This window comes from Homo sapiens, chromosome 19 (assembly GCF_000001405.40).
Source record: "Homo sapiens chromosome 19, GRCh38.p14 Primary Assembly".
NCBI lineage: Eukaryota > Metazoa > Chordata > Mammalia > Primates > Hominidae > Homo > Homo sapiens.
Window position 1 is genome coordinate 12,013,985 of NC_000019.10, and position 24,777 is coordinate 12,038,761.

The 24,777-nt window shown below is 44.1% G+C and overlaps 1 protein-coding gene, 1 long non-coding RNA gene and 1 pseudogene across 14 annotated transcripts in view, besides 3 other annotated features; 1 reads left to right on the forward strand and 2 right to left on the reverse strand.

Moving 5' to 3' along the window:
- The window catches only part of ZNF433-AS1 (ZNF433 and ZNF878 antisense RNA 1), a 58,659-nt gene that overhangs the window by 26,368 nt on the left and 7,514 nt on the right, over positions 1-24,777 (forward strand). For 2 of the 3 annotated variants that reach the window (NR_134928.1, NR_134929.1), the window contains one exon: positions 21,570-21,788. This is a non-coding gene — a long non-coding RNA (ZNF433 and ZNF878 antisense RNA 1). Of the gene's footprint in view, positions 1-12,209; positions 13,211-21,569; positions 21,789-24,777 lie in introns of those variants that run through there. The other variant, NR_134927.1, reaches the window with a different exon arrangement.
- ZNF433 (zinc finger protein 433) lies at positions 731-21,695 on the reverse strand. 11 transcript variants are annotated; one of them, NM_001308351.2, is made up of 6 exons: positions 21,553-21,695; positions 20,844-20,890; positions 16,156-16,214; positions 4,182-4,308; positions 3,892-3,952; positions 731-2,682 (listed from the first exon to the last, which is right to left on the reverse strand). In NM_001308351.2, exons 4-6 carry the CDS (start codon positions 4,213-4,215, stop codon positions 861-863), a joined length of 1,917 nt encoding a protein of 638 aa, NP_001295280.1. In that variant the 5' UTR covers positions 4,216-4,308; positions 16,156-16,214; positions 20,844-20,890; positions 21,553-21,695; the 3' UTR covers positions 731-860. The 11 variants fall into 11 exon arrangements, with proteins under 11 accessions (NP_001295280.1, XP_011526030.1, XP_047294275.1 ...); XM_011527728.3 differs by having other exon boundaries at positions 4,182-4,317; XM_047438319.1 differs by lacking the exon at positions 16,156-16,214 and adding an exon at positions 20,450-20,552 and having other exon boundaries at positions 4,182-4,317.
- Positions 13,929-14,037, reverse strand: RNA5SP465 (RNA, 5S ribosomal pseudogene 465; annotated as a pseudogene).
- Positions 21,230-21,349: a silencer, noted in NCBI's record as "silent region_10137". NCBI's record gives its function as "represses an Ori minimal core promoter by ATAC-STARR-seq in GM12878 lymphoblastoid cells {active_cell/tissue: GM12878}" and the evidence as "EXISTENCE:reporter gene assay evidence [ECO:0000049][PMID:35858748]".
- Positions 21,360-21,409: a silencer, noted in NCBI's record as "silent region_10138". NCBI's record gives its function as "represses an Ori minimal core promoter by ATAC-STARR-seq in GM12878 lymphoblastoid cells {active_cell/tissue: GM12878}" and the evidence as "EXISTENCE:reporter gene assay evidence [ECO:0000049][PMID:35858748]".
- Positions 21,650-21,809: a silencer, noted in NCBI's record as "silent region_10139". NCBI's record gives its function as "represses an Ori minimal core promoter by ATAC-STARR-seq in GM12878 lymphoblastoid cells {active_cell/tissue: GM12878}" and the evidence as "EXISTENCE:reporter gene assay evidence [ECO:0000049][PMID:35858748]".

Here is a 24,777-nt window from a genome sequence, read left to right on the forward strand (position 1 = left end):
GAAGGAAAGGTGACCCGCAGACTGTTAGGACTGGTGAAAATGATTCATTGAAAATCTAAGAAAGAACTCTTGTCTTTGGAGCCCTGTGCCCATTTCTCTGGAGTGTGTCTTTTCCTGAATGGCCATTCCCAGCTTTTCACTTGAATAAACTCTTCACAACTCAGTCCTACGTTTTTGCATGATGTGAGGTTGACGGGACACACACCCAATACCCATGGACTCTATGCTCCCTGCCACCACCTTCCTCTTCCCTCCTGGCCTGCACAAATGTCCAGGATCCAACCCTTCACTCTGAATCCCCCAAACTCCCTGACTGGACCCAGTCATGCTGGATCCCTCAGCAGACCCATACAACTTAGAAACTCTCCCCTGTCCCCCAAACCTGGCTTGACTCTCGTGCCCTCCTCAGGCACCTTTACCCTCAGCTTGAACTGGCCTCAGCCATGATTTGAACTTCACCCTGTGCTCCTTCATGCTCCACACCTACCTCCCTCAGGTGCCATTGCCCCCAGCAGTCCTGGACCTAAGGACATCACCATGTCTCCGGCATTGCATCCTGGGAGCCCTCACCTTTTCCCACCTCTCCCTGGCCTTTAAAGTCATTGCTGCTGTGAGACCCAGACCACCATTTTGTTCCAGTAGCCCCCTGCCCACCCATTCTCCCTCTGTGACTTCTCTGCGCTGCCCAGCAGATGCCATTGTATCCCAGCCACGGATTTCTCAACTGCCATTACCACCAACTGGAAGTCTTTTTATTTATTTATTTAATTTTTATAACAGAGTCTCACTATGTTGCCCAGGCTGGTCTTGAACTCCTGGGCTTAAGCAGTCCCCCCACCTCAGCCTCCTAAAGCCTGGGGTTATGGGGTGTCTATGCAGTGAGCCCTTCCATGCACTTGAAGTTGTGAAGAACATCTAAAGACTTTACCACATTGGTTACATTTATAGGGTTTCTCTCCAGTGTGAGTCCTTCCATGCCTTCGAAGGTTTGAGGGACATCCAAAAGCTTTCCCACATTGCTTACATTTATACGGTTTCTCTCCAGTGTGAGTCCTTCCATGCATTTGAAGTCGCGAGGCACATCCAAAAGACTTCCCACACTGCTTACATTCATAGGGTTTCTCTCCAGTGTGAGTCCTTCCATGCATTTGAAGGTGTGAGGCAGATCCAAAGGCTTTCCCACACTGCTTACATTCATAAGGTTTCTCTCCAGTGTGAGTCCTTCCATGAATTTGAAGCTGTGAGGCAGATCTGAAGGCTTTTCCACATTGCTTGCATTCATAGGGTTTCTCTCCAGTGTGAGTCCTTCCATGATATCGAAAGGAGCTCGAACAGTTGAAGGATCTGCCACACTGCTTGCATTCATAGGTTTTTCCTCCAGTGTGAGTCCTTTCATGTCTATGAAATAAACTGGGCAAACTGAATGTTTTCCCATAACCCTTACATTCATACGGCTTCTCTTCTCTGTGCATCCTTTCATGTATTTGAAAGAAAGAGAAATTACTAAATGGTTTTCCACATTCCTTACATGCATAGGGTTTCTCTCCCGTGTGAGTCCTACCATGTGTTTGAAGGAGTGAGGCAGATCTGAAGGCTTTCCCACATTGCTTACACTCGTAAGGTTTCTCTCCAGTGTGAGTTCTTTCATGATATCGGAAGGAACTGGAAGAATTAAAGGCTTTACCACATTGGTTGCATTTATAGGGTTTCTCTCCAGTGTGAGTTTTTTCATGTGTTTGAAGTGAACTGGGAGAATAAAAGGCTTTCCCACATATCTTACATTTATGAGATATCTCTCCAGTGTGCATTCCCAAGTGGTTTTGAAAGCTGGTAAGATAAGATAATACTTTCCCACAATGTTTACATTCATAGGGTTTTTTCCTAGAGTGGGTTCTTTCATGTCTGCGAACAGAACTGGGACACTTGAATGCTTTTCCACATTCCTTACATTCATATGGCTTCTCCCCCGTGTGAGTTCTTTCATGTATTTGAAAGGAATGGGAAGAGCTGAAGGCTTTCCCACACTGTTTACATTCATATGGCTTCTCCCCAGTGTGAGTTCTTTTATGAGCATGAAGGCATGTGGAACTATGGAATGCTTTCCCACATTCATTACATTTATAAGGCTTCTCCCCAGTGTGAGTTCTTTCATGTATTCGAAGGCTACTAGAATGACTAAAGGCTTTACCACACTGTTTACATTGATATGGTTTCTCTCCAGTGTGAGTTCGTTTGTGGATAAGATACAAACTGAGAAACATCAAGGCTTTCCCACAAAATTTACACTTATAAGGTCCATCTCCACGGTGCATTATCCTGTGTCTTTGAAGGTTTGAATGGGAAATAAATGTTTTTCCGCATTCCTCACAAACATAGAGTTTCCTTCCACTATGAGCCCTTTCATGTGTCTGAACAGAGGAGAGACAGTTGAAAGGTTTTTTACAGTATTTACATTTATATGGTTTCTGTCCATATTCTTGATACTCATATGCCTTGTGTCCAGTGTCATCTCTGATGTGCCTATTAAGAGATGAATGAGCACTGCCTACTTCTCCATACACACTGCTTTCGCATGATTTTACTCCAGTAGTTGTTTTCTTCAGCATGTCATCTGGAACCTGGGTCAAAATTTCTCCATGCTGATGACCTTCTTTACTTTCAAAGAGTCTCTCTCCCACAATTCTGTGAACAATAAGAAGTACATTATAATGGGTTTGATTATCAGTGATTTTATATTCATTCACAAGTATTGCACTTGCATTTTTTCTCTTTTTTTTGAGATGGAGTCTCACTCTCTTGCCCAGGCTGGAGTGTAGTGGTGCGATCTTCGCTTACTGCAACTTCCACCTCCTGAGTTCAAGCAATTTTCCTGCCTCAGCCTCATAAGTAGCTGGGACTACAGGTGCATACCACCACACCCAGCTAATTTTTTGTATTTTAGTAGACGGGGTTTCACCATGTTGGCCAGACTGGTCTTGAACTCCTGACCTCAGGTGATCCACCTGCCTCGGCTTCCCAAAATGCTGGGATTACAGGCATGAGCCACTGTGCCTGGCCTGCACTTCCATTTTTAACATCATCCAGCAAACTGTAGGCTTTCTGCCCTGTCTGAATTGTTTGAATATGAACGGACCACAGGCTCTACAAGATGGCCCAGCCATATCTATTATCAAAAAAGATGATAGAAGGCTTCTGAATACTGTTTTTTGGTTTTTTTTGTTTTGTTTTGTTTTTTTGAGATGGAGACTCACTCTGTTGCCCAGGCTGGAATGCAGTGGGGCAAACTTGGCTCACTGCAACCTCCCCCTCCTGGGTTCAAGCGATTCTCCTGCCTCAGCCTCCCAGGTAGCTGGGATAACAGGTGTCCACCACGATGCCTGGCTAATTTTTATATTTTTAGTAGAGATGGGGTTTCACTATGTTGGCCAGGCTGCTTTTGAACTCCTGACCTCAAGTGACCCACCCTCCTCGGCCTTCCAAAGTGCTGGGATTACAGGCGTGAGCCACCACGCCTGGCGTCTCTGAGTACTATTTTAAAGTAAACTATTTTACAAATACTAAATATCTGTCTTTTTAAATTTGTTTTTTGGGTCAGGGTCTCACACTCTTGCCCAGGCTGGAGTGCAGTGATGCCATCATGACTTAGTATGGCCCCAACCTCCTGGGCTCAAGTGATCCTCCAGCCTGAACCTCCCAAAGGGCTGAAATATAGTCCTGGGCCATTGTGTCAAGCCTACATCACACTTCAATATGTGTTTAGAGAAAATTTTCTAAGAATAAATAGATTGAAATTGTGCTTATTTCTTTTGTTTCCTTTTTTTTTTTTTAACATTTTCTCCCATTCTAAGATTTTCTAGAGACACACGTCTTTGTCATGTGAGTGCAAGTTACCTTAGGTTTCTCCTTAGATTTTCGTACTCTACATATATGTTCTGGGGTTTCCATTTTTTCCCTACAACACACAACAAGGAAAATAATCTTGAATTAGTATAAAATTATTAAAAAATTACATGATTCTATGTTCATGGTACACTGCAAGCATGCTTCCTTTATTTATCAAATATTCCCTGTCCACATTGTAAATCACTCAACAGCATACATGAGCTAAAAATACTTGTTCTCAGAAAAAAAAAAAAACTTGTTGTCTCATTTACTGAAGGAAGTAATGTTGTCACCCTTACCTATAGAGGCCAGGTTCCTGAAGGTTTCTTGCATCACATCTCTACAGAGATTTTTCTGGGAAGGATCCAGCAAAGCCCACTCCTCTTGGGTGAAGGTCACAGCCACATCCTCAAAGGCCACTGAATCCTGAAACATCTCACATGTATAGAGGAGGATGGATAAGACTAACATCACTGGGAAGCCTATACTCTATTCCCAAGAGGTTTCCATGATGCTGTGGACTCAAAACAATTATTCCATGACCATCAGACCTCATACTCTCTGTCTACACTCAGTTTCTTCCATAAAGTAATTCTGAGGCTACAACTGAACCATGTGGTAAAGCAACAGTAGAATAGGAAAATGTGTATTTTTGGTAAATCCAGAAAGGTGTGCTGCCTGGGCTGCCCCTAATGTTTGTTTGTAAAGTGGGAGTACGGCACCTGCCATAACAAAGTCTTCCAAATTCCTGTGCAGAAAAAGTTAACATTAGCAGTCCTGAGGCTGCATATCCTTGAAAAAAAAATGCCTATCGACAAAGTTTAACCTTTGATGTTATCTAGAAAATGAATTTTGTTCTGAGTGCTGCAGCAGAAACAAAAACCAAAAAACTGGATTTTACAAGGGGTCTTATCAATCTAAATGATGAGTCATAAATAACTAAAACAAAAACTCATGAGCTCTACACTCATGAGCTCATGCCACTGCACTGCAGCCTGGGCAACAGAGTGAGACTCGGTCTCAAAAAAATAAAATTAGCCAGGTATGGTGGTGCGTGCCTGTAATCCCAGCTACCCAGGAGGCTGAGGCAGGAGAATCGCGGGAATCCAAGAGGCAGAGGCTGCAGTGAGCCAAGATCACACCACCACACTCCAGCCTGAGTGACAGAGCAAGACTCCATCTTAATAAAAAAAAAAAAAAAAAAAAAAAAATTTCCAGGCACCTAGTCTCAACAAAAAGGCAAACATTTATCAAACTTTTAAAAACTTTTGTGGCCAGGCATGGTGGCTCATGCCTGTAACCCCACCACTTTGGAAGGCTGAGGCAGGTGGATCACCTGAGGCCAGGAGTTGGTGACCAGCCTGGCCAACATGGTGAAACACCGTCTCTACTAAAAATACAAAAATAAGCCAGGCATGGTGGTATGCACCTGCAATTCCACTACTTGGGAGGCTGGGGCAGGAGAATCACTTGAACCCAGAAGTTGGAGGTTGCAGTGAGCTGAGATCATGCCACTGCACTCCAGCTTGGGCAACAGCAAGACTCCATCACAAAAAAACCACTTTTGTGCATGAGATGACACCATCAACAAAGGGAAAAGGGACTCCTTGTGCTCTGTTTAAAGGATAATAAATGGCTCAGCTTCTATGGAAACAGTACAGTAGTGCCTAAAAAAATAAAATTACTGTATTTTCCTGTATCCCACTTTTGGGTCTAGTTATATTAAATTTGAAAAAATTGAAAACTGAACCTTGAAGACATATTTGAAAACCACTCTTCACAAAATCAAAGAGCCAGATCAATCCACATGTCCATTGATGGCTGCATGCATAATGAAAATATGCTAGGCATATATATACATTGAAATATTAATCTTATAACATCCTGTCTCATGCTACAACAATCACAAAACTTCAGGATACTATGGTAATTGCAAAAAGCTAGGCACAAAAAGAAAATTACAGTATAATTCACCTTAGATGAGTTATGTAGTGTTGTGCAACTATACACTTAAAACTGCTTAAGCTGGTAAAATTGAAGTTTATTATTTTACAATAATTAAAAATAATAAATCACAGTACCAAGTAAAAAAACTAATTGATATTGATTAAAAGATGGGCATAGGCCAGGTATGGTGGCTCACACCTGTAATCTTAGCACTTTGGGAGTCCGAGGTGGGCGGATGACTTGAGGTCAGGGGTTCAGGACCAGCCTGGCCAAAATGGTGAAACCCCATCTCTACTAAAAATACAAAAATTAGCCGGGCATGATGGCACATTCCTGTAATCCCAGCTACTCAAGAGGCTGAGGCAGGAGAATCACTTGAATCTGGGCAGCAGAGGCTGCAGTGAGCCGAGATTGTGCCACTGCACTCCAGCCAGGGCAAGAGAGCAAGACTCTGTCTCAAAAAAATTTTAAAAAAAAAAAGCAAAAGTATTTGAATGACATTTCTGCAATACATAGAAATGACCAATAAGTATATGAAGTGGTGCTCAACATCAGGAGTCAACAGGCATAAGTATTTTACACAGTGTAGTTTCAGGTGGTTATTGAGCACTTTCTCTCATGAAAAGTATTCATAAAATAATAAAATTTTAAATATAGCCATTTATTAAAGTAAAAAATAATAATTTAAATACTGCAGCTGTTTCAAGTGTATCATGAGAAACACATAATTGAAGACGTCCTTTCGAGAGAGGAGTGAGTGTTTTGGAATGTATCGAGGAAAGCAGAAATTTAGGGATTTATTGTCATTCCTAAGAAGAGCTGGCTGAGCGCGGTGGCTCACGCCTGTAATCCCAGCACTTTGGGAGGCAGAGGTGGCCGGATCACCTGGGGTCAGGAGTTCGAGACCAGACTGATTAACATGGTGAAACCCTGTCTCTACTAAAAACACAAAAATTAGCTGAGTGTAGTGATGCGCGCTACTGGGAAGGCTGAGGCAGGAGAATCGCTTGAACCAGGGAGGCGGAGGTTGCTGTGAGCCGACATTGCGCCATTGCACTCCAGCCTGGGCGACAGAGCGAGACTCTGTCTCAAAAACAAAAATATAAAAAAAAAAAAACAGCACTAAGCTACAGGGGTCTTAAGGACTCCTGCTTTACTGTTTTTTTTTTTTTCTTTTTTTTTGAGACAGAGTAGTCTCACTCTGCCACCCGGGCTGGAGAGCAGTAGCACAATCTCAGCTCACTGCAACCTCTGCCTCCAGGTTCAAGCAATTCTCCTGCCTCAGCTTCCCAAGTAGCTGGGATTACAGGCACCCACCACTATACCCGGCTAATTTTTTTGTATTTTTAGTAGAGACGGGGGTTTCACCATGTTGGCCAAGCTGGTCTCAAACTCCTGACCTCGTGATTCACCCACCTCAGCCTCCCAAAGTGCTGGGATTACAGCTGTGAGCCACTGCACCTGGCCAGGACTCCTTCTTTGACCAAACTTGATCTCACAGCCCTCTTCTTGTCTAGGCTTTGGCCTTCTTCTGCAGAGCCCAGTTATAGCAAAAAGCCTTTTAAGGCAGTGCACAGAGAATCTCTCCCACCAAAACTTAGTATTTCCAATCAAGTTCAATTTCCCTCACTCATGATAATCCATCAACTTTCTCTTCCCTAACTGCTGACACTTCACCAAGTTCCATCCTTTCCCTCGCCTTGCCCTGTAATATAGGAGAGAGATTAAACTCAGGGAGACAGCCTATTACGTGTCGTGAGAACTGTAATATAATATACAGAACTGTAATCTCCATATTATAGTTCTCATGACACATATTACAATTGTGCTGAATAAAGCCTTCCTTGATATTTTAAACACATTTTCAATACAATCTCTCTTTATAAGAGATAGGGACTTAGACTGGAGACTCTGCTTCAGAAATCTAGAATGCATAAGGGATAATAGGCTCTCTCCCTGTGGGGAGACAGCTGAGACTACCTCCCACTCACAAAACCAAAACACCAGGTCAGATTTCTCTCCTGAAGACCACTCCCTGCTGTTATCCCATAAACTTAGTAAGATAGGGGACTGTGGGTGCACTATTTCCCAGACAGGGTACTAGGGTAGAGCTTACCTCCTGCAGTGATGATGCAGGATGCCTGGCGGTACTGGCTGCCAATTCAACCGTCACGCTGTGATAGAGACTTAGGTGTTGGGAACAGGCCCCCAAATCTGGCCATAAACTGGCTCCAAAACTGGCCATAAACAAAATCTCTGCAGCACTGTGACATGTTCGTGATGGCCATGACACCCACAATGAAGACTGTTGGTTTACCGGAATGAAGGCAGGGAACACCTGGCCCACCCAGGGTAGAAAACCACTTAAAGGTGTTCCTAAACCACAAACAATAGCGTAAGTGATCTCTGCCTTAAGGACGTGTTCCTGCTGCAGATAACTAGCCAGAGCCCATCCCTTTGTTTCAGCCCATCCCTTTGTTTCCCAAAAGGAATACTTTTAATCTATAATCTACAGAAACAATGCTTATCACTGGCTTGCTGTCAGTAAATATGTGGGTAAATTTCTGTTCGTGGCTCTCAGCTCTGAAGGCTGTCAGCCCCCTGATTTGCCACTCCACACTCCATATTTCTCTGTGTGTGTCTTTAATTCCTCTAGTGCCCCTGGGTTAGGGTCTCCATGACCGAGATGGTCTTGGCAAGTGGTGTACATGTGTGGGTCTTGAACCCAGGTCAAAGTGTCACCGGAGTAACAGTTGGAGAATGTGGAACTAAGCTGGAGGACACCCGAGTACTCTAAAGCAATGCCCGTGGTAAGAAGGGGAGCTTGGAAGCATCAGGGTAACAAAGGGACAAGTGTGGGCTCTGGTTCCTTCCATCTTGTAACCTTTTCACACTGATGAGGAGGAGGAAGGAAAGTAACAGAAGAGATGACAGAGCAGGTTTGTTTGCCAGCTAAAGCTAAAGTGGCAAAGGAGGAAGAGTCCATCCCTACCCTTCTGCACCCCCTCCTTATTTTGAAGAAAAAGAGTGGCCTGACCCACCAGATCTTTCTTTTCTGGAGGACACTGGACAAAAAGTAGTTTCCCCAATGAGTGTTCGAGCAGCACCTTGAGCAATGGCTCTCAGTTCTATTCAGGCAGGAATTCACCAAGCTACAAGAGAGGGTGATATAGAGGCTTGGCAGTTCCCTGTTAGGATACACCCCCCAGATCAACAGGAAAATACTATAGCTACATTTGAGCCTTTTCCTTTTAAATTTGGGAAACACCATGAGGGGCCTGTCCCGGGCCCCATTCCAAACCAAGGCATTTCCGGCTGAGGCCATTCCCTAACCCTTGTACAATATCTATCCCCCACCACAGCCAGTAGTGCCACGGTAGATTTATGCTGCACAAAAGCTGTGAGTCTTCTGCCTGGGGAACCCCCACAAAAAGTTCCAACAGGGGTCTGTGGACACTTGCCAGTAGGGACAATCAGATTACTTCTAGGTAGATCTAGTTTAAATTTAAAAGGAGTGCAAGTACATACAGGAGTCACTGATTCAGATTACAATGGGAAATTCAAATTGTTATAGCTACTTCTGTTCCCTGGAAAGCAGAGCCAGGAAAGCACAACTCCTGATTGTGCCATATGTGGAAATGGGGAAAAGTGAAATTAAACGAACAGGAGGATTTGGAAGCACAAATAAACAAGGCAAAGCAGCTTACTGGGTGAATCAAAGTATTGATAAATGTCCTACCTGTGAAATAACTATTCAGGGAAAGAAATTTAAAGGATTGGTAGATACAGGAGCAGACATTTCCATCATTTCTCTACACCACTGGCTGTCCGCATGGCCAATTCAACCCACTCAATTTAACAGAGTTGGAGTTGGTAAAGCCCCTGAAGTATATCAAAGAATCTGTATTTTGCATTGTGAAGGGCCCAATGGACAACCTGGGACTATTCGATCAATTGTAACTTCTGTACCTATAAATTAATGGGGGAGAGATTTTACTGCAACAATGGGGAGTACAAGTTCTAATTCCAGAGCAATTATATAGCCCTGAAAGTCAACATATGATGCATGAAATGGGGTATGTCCTAGGAAAAAAATTGCAGGGTTTGAAGGAACTGCTCCAAGCAGAAAGACAAAGTTCCCACCAAGGTTTAGGGTATCATTTTTGATGGTGGCCATTGTTAAGCCTCCAGAAACTATACCTTTAAAATGGTTAACAGATAAGCCAATTTGGATAGAACAATGGCCGCTAAGTAAAGAAAAACTGGAGGCTTTAGGGGACTTAGTTACTGAACAATTAGAAAAAGGACACATAGCTCCAACATTTCCCCCTTGGAATTCTCCAGTCTTCGTAATTAAGAAAACATCAGGTAAACGGAGAATGTTAACTGACTTAAGAGCCATTAATTCAGTTATATAACCTATGGGGACATTACAGCCAGGACTGCCTTCTCCTGTGGATTCCAAAAAATTGGCCTTTAATTGTCATAGATTTAAAAGACTGTTTCTTTACTATCCCTTTAGCTGAGCAAGACTGTGAACGGTTTGCATTTACAATTCCTGCAATAAACAACCTGCAGCCTGCTAAGCATTTTCACTGGAAAGTGTTGCCATAAGGCGTGTTAAACAGTCCAACAATTTGCCAGACTTATCAATTGAAAACATTAAATGACTTTCAAAAAGTACTAAGGGATATCAACTGGATACAACCTGCTCTAGGCATTCCTACCTATGCTATGAGTAATCTGTTTTCTATCCTTAGAGGAGATCCTAGTCTCACTAGGCAATTAACAAAAGAAGCTGAGGCAGAGGTACAGCTGATTGAAAAGTAAGTCCATAAAGCTCAGATAAATAGAATAGATCCAGAGAAGACTCTAGATTTGCTAATTTTTTCAACTCAGCATTCACCTACTGGTGTTATTGTCCAAGAGCAGGACTTAGTAGAATGGCTTTTTCTTCCACATACTAACTCATGGACTCTTAACTCCTTATCTGGATCAAATCGCTACTATGATAGGAAATGGGAGAACTCGGATTGTTAAATTACATGGATATGATCCTGGAAAAATTATTGTCCCTCTCACAAAGACACAAATACAGCAAGCTTTTATAAACAGTCTTACTTGGCAAACCCATTAGCTGACTTTGTGGGTATTCTCGATAATCATTTTCCTAAAAGAAAACTATTTCAATTTTTGAAATTAACTAATTGGATTCTCCCTAAAATAACTAAATTTAAACCAATTGAAGGTACTGAAAATGTCTTCACAGATGGGTCTAGTAATGGTAAAGCTTCTTATTCCAGCTTGAAAGGTAAAGTTTTTCAGAAGCCCTGTACTTCGGCTCAAAAAGCAAGAGCTTGTAGCTGTAAGTGAGGTATTGACTGCTTTTGATATGCCTATTAATGTGATTTCTGATTCTTTGTATGTGGTTCATTCCACACCATTAGCTGAAAATGCTCAGTTGCCATTTCATACAGATGAACAACTGATGACTTTATTTACCCAATTGCAAACAGCAGTTAGAAATAGAATACACCCTTTTTACATCACTCACACTAGGGCTCATACACCTCTTCCAGGACCTTTAACTGAAGGGAATCAAATGGCTGATGGCCTAGTTGCTACTACAATATCTAATGCCAGACACTTTCACAATTTAACCCATGTTAATGCCTCTGGTCTCAAATGCAGATACAGCATTACCTGGAAAGAAGCTAAAGCTATTATTCAGTGATGCCCAACTTGCCAAATGGTGCATTCCTCATCTTTTATAGGAGGAGTTAATCCTCAAGGATTGGAACCTAATTCTCTTTGGCAAATGGATGTCACACATGTTCCCTCGTTTGGGAGACTAGCTTATGTACATGTATGTGTGGACACCTTTTCTCAGTCTGACTGGGTTACATGCCAAACAGGAGAGTCTTCTGCCTGTGTTAAACGTCACCTTTTGCAGTGTTTTGCAGTGATGGGCATTCCAGCTTCTATTAAAACAGATAATGCCCCAGGCTATACTAGCCAAGCTCTAGCTACATTTTTCTCCATATGGAATATTAAACACATTATTGGCATTCCATACAATTCTCAAGGATGAGCCACAGTGGAAAGAATGAATCTGTCCCTGAAACAGCAGTTGCAAAAGCAAAAAGGGGGAAACAGGGACTACAGGACACCCCATATGCAACTGAATCTAGAATTATTGACTTTAAATTTTTTGAGCCTGCCTAAAGGCCAGATGCTATCAGCAGCTGAACAATATCTACAGAAACCAGCTGCAAAGACAGAAGCAGAACAACTGGTTTGGTGGAGAGATCTGATAACAAAAAGTTGGGAAATAGGTAAAATAATAACTTGGGGTAGAGGTTATGCTTGTGTTTCCCCAGGATGAAATCAACAGCCAATCTGGGTGCCATTGAGACATCTAAAGCCTTACTATGAGCCAGATACCCAGGAAGAGGTTTTGGGAGGATCCCAAAGACTCCCTGGTTGCAGCCATGTCAAGACTGATGCTGAGGAGGACCCCAACTGTCACGAGCAACAACTGCCTGGGGACAGATCAAGAAGCTGTCACAGATGGCAGAGAAAAACCTGAGAAAAGCGGGACAACCAGTCACAATGAGTAATTTAATGATAGCTATGACAGTGGTGATCACCATTGCCATGAGTATTCCTTCAACAAGGGCTGACACAGAGAACAATTACACTTATTGGGCATATTTATCAATCTTGGCTGGCAATAATGCCTGGATGTGATCACTCTATGACACAGTTACACATGCTTTCTGGTCTCAGTATTTACCATAATAATCTGCTCCTATAATTGAGGCATACTGCCCTCAAAAAACTATTTGTAAACAGGATTGGACCTGGTCAGAAAAAATGAACGTACTTGTTTGGGAAGATTGCATTGCAGAACAGGCAGAGGTGCTGCACAACGATTCCTATGGAGTCATTATTGATTGTTCCCCTAAGGGGATGTTTAGCTTGAATTGCACCTCTCAGTCTGCCTGCCATGGCCACACTATGTTCAGCTGGTCTGAACAAAATGGTCAGATGGTAGAAATGATAAGAAGTATGGCAAGAGTTCCTATTATCTGGAAACATGGTGGTATAGTGGCACCTCAACCTCAAATGATATGGCCTGCTGTAGGAGCTAAACATAAGGATTTGTGGAAACTATTAATGGCTCTTAATAAGATCAAAATTTGGGAAAGGATAAAAAAGCATCTAGAAGGACACTCTAGAAACTTGGATATTGCAAAATTAAAAGAACAAATATTTAAAGCATCCCAGGCACACCTGACCTTAATGCCAGGAACTGGAGTGCTTGAAGGAGCTGCAGATGGATTAGCAGCTATTAACCCATTAAAATAGATAAAAACACTTGGAGGCTCTGTGATTTCAATGATGATTGTGCTTTTAATCTGTGTTGTCTTTGTATAGTCTGCAGATGTGGATCCCAACTCCTGCGAGATGTAGCTCACCATGATAAAGCCACCTTTGCTTTTATTGTCTTGCAAAAACAAAAAGGGGGAACATGTTGGGGACAGGCTCCCAAATCTGGCCATAAACAAAATCTCTGCAGCACTGTGACATGTTCATGATGGCTATGATGCCCACACTGAAGGTTGTTCATTTACTGGAATGAGGGCAAGGAACACCTGGCCCACCCAGGGCGGAAAACTGCTTAAAGGTGTTCCTAACCCACAAACAATAGTATGAGCAATCTGGGCCTTAAGGACATGTTCCTGCTGCAGATAACTAGCCAGAGCCCATCCCTTTGTTTCACATAAGGAATATTTTTAGTTAATCTATAATCTACAGAAACAATGCATATCACTGGCTTGCTGTCAATAAATGTGGGTAAATCTCTTTTCATGGCTTTCAGCTCTGAAGGCCGTCAGCCCCGATTTGCCACTCCACATTCTATTATTTCTCTGAGTGTGTCTTTAATTCCTCTAGCACCACTGGGTTAGGGTCTCCATGACCAAGCTGGTCTTGGCACTTAGGCTTCAGCTGATATAGATATATGTCAGGACCAGGTATAGAATTTGCATGTCTTTCTTCCATTTGGTGAATTCTCTTGCAATTTCTGTTTTTTAAGGCTATAGCAACCAGTATTCCCAGGAATTCTACAAACCATGTACTAACCTGGCCTGAACCTGCTTAGCTGCTAAGATCAGGTGCATTCAGAGTGGCATGACCATATACTCTTTTATCTTTTTTTGTTTTTTTCAATTTTGTTTTTTTGAGACAGGGTCTCACTCTGTCACTTAGTCTGGAGTGCAGTGGTATGATCATATTTCACTGTGGCTTCAATCACCTGGGCTCAAGTGATCCTCCCACCACAGCCTCCCCAGTACATAGGACTGAAGTACCATAGGAAGAACTGTGACCTAAGAAAAAACAAGTGGGACCCATGTAGATTATCTGCTCAATGTTATGGTCAAATGACTACTGCTATAAAAAACAAAATCCATTAATCAAGAAAGTGAACTACCATTCCATGGAAGGTTCGTTACTAAGTAAAAATAAAATATGATATAAAATATCACATATCTGATATCAACTGCATAAAAAAATGTAAAAATAAAATATACTGATAGGGATGCATACCCAGGTTATGAAACTATGAAGAAAATAAGAAAACAATAATTATCATTCGCAATACTGGCTCCATCAATATTTTGGTTCACTGTGAAATTGTTTTATGTGTTTTGACCATATGTAATATTTTTAGTTTCTAGAGTGGAAACTCTGTGCAGAAATAACTATCAGTGCACATGGAAATACCAGCAACAACCTACTGAATATAATTTTTAAAAAGACAACATAGCCTGTTAAACAAATTTGTATTACAGTTAATTTTCTTTTTAAAAATGTTTTTATTATTTTTGTTTTGTTTAGGGACAGGTTCTTGCACTGTCACCCATGCTATGGTGCAGGGGCATGATGACAGCTCACTGTAGCCTTGACTTCCCAGGCTCAAGCTATCCCTACCTTCCTGAGTAGATGATAATACAGGCTCCTGCCACCACACATGGTGAATTTCTTAATTTTTGTGAAGACGGGGTCTCTTTATGTTGTCCAGGTTGGTCTCAAACTCCCGGGCTCAAGCCATTCTCCCACCTTGGCCTCCAAAAGCAATTAATTTTCTTGAAGTCCCAAAAAGTCTCAGAAAGGATATAAAATTATTATTATCCAAAAAGTACCCATGGAAAGATATCAATGGAAAATGTAATAAATGTAAAGATGTCATATGTCCTTAAACACACACTGATTATCACTGTGATGTAATCTCTCTGAAATACATCTAGTATTTTATTATATTCCATGAAATGCATAGGCAGGTTTGTTTTTTCATTAAAATTAAGAAAAACTACTTCTAAACACTGAAATAGAAGACAATGACTAAGAATAGCCAGCATAAGCTGGGTGTGGTAGCTCACACCTGTAATCCCAGCACTTTGGGAGGTGGAGGTGGGCGCATCACCTGAGGTCAGGAGTTCAAGACCAGCCTAGCCAACATGGTGAAACCCCTCTCTACTAAAAATACAAAAATTAGCCTGGCATGGTGGCATGTGCCTGTAGTCCCAGCTACTCGGGAGGCTGAGGCAGGGAGAATTACTTGAACCCGGGAGGCGGAAGTTGCAGTGAGCTGAGATTGCACCACTGCACTCCAGCCTCGGTGACAGAGCAAGACTCTGTCTCAAAAAAAAAAAAAAAAAAAAAAAAAAAAGCCAGGATGTTGTATAAAATATGACTAAGGGATGTTAATGACATAAATGTTTGCATTTTCCCACTCCAAATCATACAGTGACACCCTAACCTGTAATACGATGGAATTAAGATGGCATCTCTGAGAAGTCATTAGAATTAGATTAGAGCATGAGAGTAGATCCCTCGTGAATGGGATTAGTACTCTTATGAGACACAGGATAGCTTGTTTCCTCTTTCTCTCTGTCATGTGAAAAAATAAAAAAATAGCTGGCCGGGCGCGGTGGCTCACACATGTAATCCCAGCACTTTGGGAGCCTGAGGTGGGTGGATCACGAGGTCAGGAGTTTGAGACCAGCCTGGCCAAGATGGTGAAACCCTGCCTCTACTAAAGAATACAAAAAATTAGCTGGGCACGGTAGCAGGCACCTGTAATCCCAGCTACTCGGAAGGCTGAGGCAGGAGAATTGCTTGAATCCCAGAGGCAGAGGTTGCAGTAAGCCGAGATCGCACCACTGCACTCCAGCCTGGGTGACAGAGCAAGACTCCATCTCAAAAAAAAAAAAAAAAAAAAAAAAATAGCCATCTGCAAACCAGGAAGCAGGCTCTTACCAGGCACCAGATCTGTCAGCACCTTGAACATGGACTTCATAACTTCCAGGCTTCCAGAACTGTCAGAAAGAAATGTTTATTTTTTTATTTTTTTATTTTTTTGAGACGGAGTCTCACCGTCACCAGGATGGAGTGCAGTGGCATGATCTCAGCTTACTGCAACCTCTGCCTCCCAGGTTGAAGTGATCCTCCTACCTCAGCCTCCTGAGTAGCTGGGACTACAGGTGCGCATCACCAAGCCCAGCTAATTTTTTCTATTTTTAGTAGAGACAGGCTTTCACCATGTTGGCCAGGATAGTCTCGATCTCTTGACCTCGTGATCCACCTGCCTCAGCCTCCCAAAGTGCTGGGATTACAGGCGTGAGCCACCATGCCCGGCCTAGAAATTATTCTTTAAGTCACCCGGTTTATGGGAATTTGATATAAAAGCCCAAGATGACTAAGATAGATAGGCACTAGCCCTAGAATACATCACAGCTTTGAGATCTATACTAATAAAGAGAAAATGATATTAACAGAGAGATGGAAATATAGACCAATGGAGAGGGTCCATGGGTACAAAAACACAGAAAAAATGAATAAGACTAAGCATTTGCAAGCACAACAGGTTGACTATAGTAAAAAATAATATATTGTACATTTTGAAATAACTAAAAGAGCTGGGCATACTGGCTTATGCCTGTAATCCCAGCACTTTTGGAGGTGGAGGCAGGATTACTTGAGCTCAGGAATTCGAGACAAGCCTGAGCAACATGGTGAAACCCCGTCTCTATGAAAAATACAAAAATTAGCTGGGTGTGGTGGAAAACACCTGTAGTTCTAGCTATTTGGGAAGCTGAAGCAGGAAGATCACTTGAACCTGGGAGGTGGGGGTTGCAGTGGTGTGGCTGGCTCACGCCTGTACTCCCAGCACTTTGGGAGGCTGAGGTGGGCAGATCACGAGGTCAAGAGATTGAGACCATTCTGGCCAACACGGTGAAACCCCGTCTCTACTAAAAATACAAAAATTAGCTGGATGTGGTAGTGCGTGCCTGTAGTCCCAGCTACTTGGGAGGCTGAGGCAGGAGATTTGCTTGAACCCAGGAGGCGGAGGTTGCAGTGAGCAGAGATTGCGCCACTGCACTCCAGCTTGTTGATAGAGTGAGACTCCATCTCAAAAAAAAAAAAAAAACAAAACAAAAAAAAAAACAAAGCAGCTGACCAACATTCATGTTAAAATAGATATCAAGCCAGGCACAGTGGCTCACACCTGTAATCCCAGCACTTTGGGATGCCAAGAAGGGGCGGATCACTTGATGTCAGGAATTCAAGATCAGCCTAGCCAGCATGGCGAAACCCCTTCTCAACTAAAAAAAATACAAAAATTAGCTGGGCGTGGTGGCAGTCACCAGCTACTCAGGAGGCTAAGGCACAAGAATCGCTTGGACCCAGGAGGTGGAGGTTGCAGTGAGCCAAGATCGTGCCACTGCACTCCAGCCTAGGCAACACAGTGAGACTCTGTCTAAAAAATAAAGTAATATCAAAAGACAAAACAGACTCTTTGTGGAAATAAGACACGAAATCTTGGCAATACAGGAAGACCTCATCCCTACAAAAAATAACTAGCTGGGCAGAGTGGCATGCACCTGTGAGCCCAGCTACTCGGGAGGCTCACGATGATTGCTTGAGCCCAGGAGGTCAAGGCTGTAGTGAGCTGTGATCACACCAGTACACTCCAGCCTGGGTGACAGCAAGACCCTTTAAAAAAAAAAAAAAAAAGTCCTCCATCCTGCAAAGAACTGTTTTTTTTTTTTCTTTCTCTTTTTCTTTTTTTTTTTTTGAGATGGAGTTTCACCGTTGCCCAGTCTGGAGTGCAGTGGCGCAATCTCGGCTCACCGCAACCTCTGCCTCCCAGGTTCAACCAGTTCTCCTGCCTCAGCCTCCCGAGTAGCTGGGACTACAGGCTTGTGCCACCATGCCCGGCTTTTTTTTTGTATTTTTAGTAGAGACAGGGTTTCACCATGTTGGCCAGGATGGTCTCGATCTCCTGACTTGGTGATCTGTGCGCCTCGACCTCCCAAAGTGTTGGGATTACAGGCGTGAGCCACCACGCCTGGCCAGAACTGATATTTTGGGTACTCTTTGTAATTCACCAATCTACCATACTTTCTTGTGGAAATTATTTCATTTTTCTCCAGTTAAAATAGTAAACTTTCCCTATTTTTCTCCAGTAGCATTCCTAAAACTAGTCCCTATAACATCATTGGAAATCACCCACAACAAAAGGATACACCTGAGAAATGTACTACACTGCCCGCAGAGAAGAAAAAAACATATTAAGAAATGGAATATAAGACTAAATAGCGATTTTTTTTTTTTTTTTGAGATGGAGACTCGCCCTGTAGTGCAGGCTGGAATACAGTGGTGCAATGTCAGCTCACTGCAGCCTCCACCTCCCAGGTTCAAGGGATTCTCGTGCCTCAGTCTCCCTAGTAGTTGGGATTATAGGCATGCACCACTATACTCAGCTAACTTTTGTATTCTTAGTTGAAACAGGGTTTCATCATGTTGGCCAGGTTGGTCTTGAACTCCTGACCTCAGGTGATCCACCTGCCTTGGCCTCTCAAAGTGCTGGGATTACAGGTGTGAGCCACTGCATCCAGCCATTTTTCTGAAATCTACCTCTTTCTGGCCTGTGTGTAAAATTTTCTTATTTTGCAAGGTCTAGTGAAAAATGCAAATTACAATTAATAAAAAACCTGAAGCTGCAATAAGTGAACAATTATTTACAAAAAGACAAACCCACAGAGGGGCAATGCTGACTAGAAAGAACACAGTGATGTTTGACTCAAGTGTCAGGCCATCCTATCACATGGGACATTTCTCTGTGCCCATCCTGCTCACTGAAGTGCTGAGTGACTATTTTCCAACAACACTGCACTGTGCCCCTGTGTGCCCCAAGTGCATTTCCTTTTTTTTTTTTCCCCTCTCTTGAGACAGAGTCTCACTCACTTGCCCAGGCTGGAGTGCAGTGGTGCGATGTCCGCTCATTGCAGAATCCACCTCCCAGGTCCAAGCAATTCTCAGGCCTCAGCCTCTGGAGTAGCTGGGACTACAGGTGTGTGCCATCACACCTGGCTGATTTCTTTTGTATTTCTAGTAGAGCCAAGGTTTCACCATATTGGCCAGGCTGGTCTCAAACTCCTGGCCTCAAGTGATCTACCCACCTCAACCTCCCAAAGTGTTGGGATTATAGGCATGAGCCACTGCACCTGGCCAGTGCATTTTCATTTACGAGGCTGAGGCAGGAGAATGGCATGAACCCGGGAGGTGGAGCTTGCAGTGAGCAGAGATTGTGCCACTACACTCCAGCCTGGGCGACAGAGCGAGACTCCGTCTCAAAAAAACAAAAACAAAAAACGGGCCAGGCGCAGTGACTCACACCTGTAATCCCAGCACTTTGGGAGGCCAAGGCGGGTGGATCACAAGGTCAGGAGATCAAGACCATCCTGGCTAACACAGTGAAACCCCGTCTCTACTAAAAATACAAAAAATTAGCCAGGCGTGGTGACGGGCTCCTGTAGTCCCAGCTACTTGGGAGGCTGAGTCAGGAGAATGGCGTGAACCCGGGAGGCGGAGCTTGCAGTGAGTAGAGATCGCGCCACTGCACTCCAGCCTGGGTGACAGAACAAGACTCTGTCTCCAAAAAAAAACAAAAACAAAAACAAATAGTTGATACTACAAATTGAAGAAGGAGAGTTGGTGTCTGCAAATTTTAGAAAGGAACTGAAATTTTAGTATTGTACTGCAAGCTCTCCAGAGGTAGGCCAGGGTCACAGGGTGGAGGGTTTGAGATCTCACTTCCCATATATTTGGAAAATGCAGAGAAGTACCAGTTAACTGGGGAGTGTTGAAAATTTTGAATAAGAAGTAATTAAACTTAATGCCTATAGTACTCTAAGATCTTGGCCAAGAACATGGAAATCAAATTCAAATGCTATTCATATAAAGTACTAACTTATGTGACGGTATGTGGCCTGAGAAAACAATAACAAGTTACTAATTTATTGGGAAATGAAATATGGGCTTAACCAGGTACAATTGGTCGAGTAACCTCTGATTATACAACCAAAAATTTTCCACTGTATGGTCTGTGAAAATAAGTAATTCAAAAATTGAAGCTGTTGGAACTCTAAATTATCTTGAAGTTTAAAGTAATGTGACTCTGGAATTGAGTCACCTGACACTGGAAAGAGCCAGCTGGAACCCTCCCACACTTGACTACAGATTAACCATCAGACAGGCTTCACTATACCTGGACAGGCCTCATTATACCCGCTTCCTTTAGGAGTTTCCACATAGCCACTGACCCACCTTCATGTTAAAACAGACATCAGCCAACTGGAAACACAGACTCTCTGTGACAATAAGAAACCAAATTACAAACAAGACCTAAGGCCATGCAAGGCAAGAGGTAAGTCAAATCTTAGAATTCACAAAATCTAAAGAAACAGGTCTTTTGTTTTGGGTGGGATGAAATCATATGACAGATACCAGACCCTCTTCACTTAAGCAATCCTTCCTACCGCCTCGAAGTTTTAGACAAAGCTTCACACTCTCCACCAACGGCCACCTTCAGAATCCCTCAACCACCTGCACCTTCTAACCCCCCTTCCACAGGTCCCGCCCTTTCTGCCAAAGGAACTTACACCTTTCCAGGCATTGATGCATGATTCTCCCTGCAATTCCTGTCTCCCTGAAATGAATAAAAACAGTCTTGAGCCGCCTCGGGACCACTTACTTCAGGCCTCCTGGGGTTGTGTTTTCCTCAGCTGAGGCCTCTCCTATTCGGCTCTGAATAAACTTCTTTAAGTTATTTTACACAGCTTGGCATTTTCCGTTAACAAATTACAAGCCAGGACTGGGTGTTTATCATTCAGGAATCTCAAAGGAACTCTAATTATTAATATATTTTTTAAAACCTATTCTGAGAAGCAAAACTATAATTGTTAACGTGTCTCAGTTTAATTTTTAAGAGGAGAAAGGCGCTACTGGGGACCCCACAGCCCACCCTCCTCCTACACAAACCCCCACACCCGAGGCGGGATCCCCCCATGACCCTCGCGTAGTCCCCGCACAATGTGGGGAGACGCGGGGCAGCGGGCGCGGAGCTGCCCAGAGAGGGCTCTGGGAACTGGGTGACAGTCACCGCGCAGGGACAGGACGAGACGCCCGGGTCCCGGCGGCCGGCCCAGCCCCACTGTGGGGCCAAGGGGACCAAGGGCCGAGCTGTCCCACGGGAAATCGGGTCCCAGACCCCGGAGTCGCCGCGGGGAGGCCCGGGTCCCACCACAGCCGGTTCCGGCCGGTTCCAACCAGCTCCTCCCCCGCCTCGGGACCCCTGGCCCGCACGCTCACCATTTCTTGCCTTTCAGGTGACTCCCACGACCAGTGCGGGTCACAGCACAGGCGACAGAAGCTATGGCAGAGGCACCTGAACCCTCTCGGAGGGGAAAGCCAGGCTCCCAACCTCAGCTCGCCGCCTGGAGCCGGGAACCGAGGAGAGCAGGGCCTTCGCCCTCCCCGATGGACACTCGGCAGGCCCCGCCCAGCGCCCCTGATTGGACGAAGCGCCGGGCCCCGCCCCCTCAGCCGTGAGTGACAATAGAAGCCCTTGGTAACGGGGCTCTGAAAACGGGTTTGACCGGATCCAGCGATAGATTCTTTAAGCCAGAGGTCTGTAACCTTTTTAGCACCAGAACCGGTTTCGTGGAAGACAGTTCTCCTACGGGGGCAGATAGTTTCGGAATGAAACTTCCACCTCAGATCAGGCATTTTATCCTCATAAGGCGAACCCAACCTAGATCCCTCGCATGTGCAGCTCACAATAGGGTTCGGGCTCCTATGACAGACTAATGCCTCTGCTGATCTGACAGGAAGCATATCTCTGGCGATAATGCCCGCTGGCTCGCCCGCCAGCCGCTCACCTCCTGCTGTGCGGACTGGTTCCTTACAGGCCATGGACCGGGGGTTGGGGACCCCTGCCATAGAGTACTGTTGAATAGAAACTTTAGCTCGTCCGGCGGTGGGCTGGGGGGGTGGGGGTAGCTCATGCCTGTAACCCCACCACTTTGGGAAGCCAAGGCAGGCAGATTGCTTGAGCCTAGGAACTTAAGCCCAGCCTGGGTAACATAGCAAAACCCCGCCTCTACAAAAAATACAAAAATTAGTCGGGCGTGGTGGTACATGTTTGCAGTCCCAGCTACTCGGAAGGCTGAAATGAGAGGATCGCCTGAGCCCAGAGAGGTCGAGGCCACAGTGAGCTGTGATTTTACCAGCCTGGATGTCAGAGTGAGACCCTGTCTCCGAAAAAAAAAAAAAAAAAAAAGACAGGGAATTGCAGTGGAGTTTAATATACATAGAGCCGGCTAAATGAAAGAGAAGAGTTTTATTTTTATTCAATTCTGTCTCCCTAAAAAATGGGAGGCTAGGTTTTGTTTTTTTGGTTTTTTTTTGAGACGGAATCTCTCTGTCGCCCATGCTGGAGTGCAGTGGCGCAATCTCGGCTCAGTGCAACCTCCGCCTCCCGGGTTCAAGCGATTCTCCTGCCTCAACCTCCTGAGTAGCTGGGATTACAGGCATGCGCCACCATGCCCGGCTAATTTTTGTATTTTTAGTAGAGACGGGGTTTACCATGTTGGTCAGGCTGGTCTCAAACTCCTGACCTCATGATCCACCCGCCTCGGCCTCCCAAAGTGCTGGGATTACAGGCCTGAGCCCCCGCACCCGGCCGAGGCTAGGGTTTTAAAGATAATTTGGTGAGCAGAAGGCTGGAAAATGGGGAATGCTGATTGGTCGCGAAAAGGATATCACAGGAAGTCTCAGCTGTCTTCTTGCACTGAGTCAGTTCTTGGCTAGGGGCCACTGGAGCAGGTGAGCCAGTTTATTGGTCTGTGTGATGCCAGCAAATTTATCAGAATGAAGGGTCTCAAAAATACCTCAAACACCAATCTTAGGTCTTACAACAATAATATTATCCACAGGAGCAAGTGAGAAGGTTGGGAATCTTGTGTACTCTGGCCGCATATTTCCTGAACCATAATTTCTAATCTTGTGGCTAATTTCTTAGTTTTACAAAGGCAATCTGGTTCCCAAGCAAGGAGACAATTTCTTTACGGAAGCGGCAGTTATGACTTTTGCTTTAAAGCTAAACTAAACTCCTTCCAATATTAGTAAGACCTATACCCGGGAATGAACAAGGGTAGCTTGGAGGCTAAAGAAAAGATGGAGTTCGCTTAGATCTGATCTCTTTCACTGTCATAATTTTCTCACTGTTATAATTCTTGCAAAAGGGTTTTCAGATGTAGAGTCATACTTTTAGCTCCTGGCAACATTTATGTTGGAACTCTTATACAGCAACTAAATCACTGGAACAGGATAATTGGTTGAGGATTTACTAACTGCTCCATCAGGTGGAAGTGGCACTCCTTACTAATTTACCTGAAAGCACTATTTCCTGAGCCATGGAGACTGAGTATAGCAATGATATGTGATCTAAAGAAGTTCCCACTCTGCTTCTTCTCTGCAGTGAAGTCCTGCCAGGCACGTTACTACTTCCACTGCCACTTTTTCCTCCTCCAAATGTGGCTAAGCAATTACTTCCCTTATGGAAGACTGTACAAAGATGAAAACATGGCTAGGTTGATGGGGTCACTCTGAGACAAGGTAGACTTATGTTATACTTTTTGCAAAGGTGACTTCAGATATGGAATCATAATTTTAGCTGCTGGCAGCAATGATGTTGGAATTCATATACAGACACTAAATGACTGGAAAAGGACAATTGGTTGAAGGTTTACTAATTGTTCCCTCAAGAGGAAGTGCCATTCCCTATTGATTTAATTGACAGCACTATTTCCTCAGCCATGGAAACTGAGTACAGCAATAATATGTGATCTAAAGAACATTCCACTCTGAGGGCCAGATGCAGTGGCTCATGCCTATAATCCCAACATTTTAGGAGGCCAAGGCAGGCAGATCACGTGAGGTCAGGAGTTAAAGACCAGCCTTGCCAACACAGTGAAACCCCATCTCTACTAAAATCACACAAATTAGCTGGGTGTGGGCTGGGTTTGGTGGCTCACACCTGTAATCCCAGCACTTTGGGAGGTCGAGGTGGGCAGATCATCTGAGGTCAGGAAATCAAGACCAGCCTGACCAACATGGAGAAACTCCATCTCTATTAAAAATACAAAATTAGCTGGGCATGCTGGCACATGCCTGTAATCCCAGGTACTCGGGAGGCTGAGGCATGAGAATTGCTTGAACCTGGGAGGTGGAGGCTGCAGTGAGCTGAGATCGCGCCACTGCACTCCAGCCTGGGTGACAGCGTGAGACTCTATCTTCAAAAAAAAAAGGCTGGGCGCGGTGGCTCATGCCTGTAATCCCCACACTTTGAGAGGCCGAGGCGGGTGGATTACCTGAGGTCAGGAGTTCAAGACCAGCCTGGCCAACATGGTGAAACCCCGTCTCTACTTAAAATACAAAAAATTAGCCGGGCGTGGTGGTATGTACCTGCAATCCCTGCTACTCGGGAGGCTGAGGCAGGAGAATTGCTTGAACCTGGGAGGCAGAGGTTGCAGT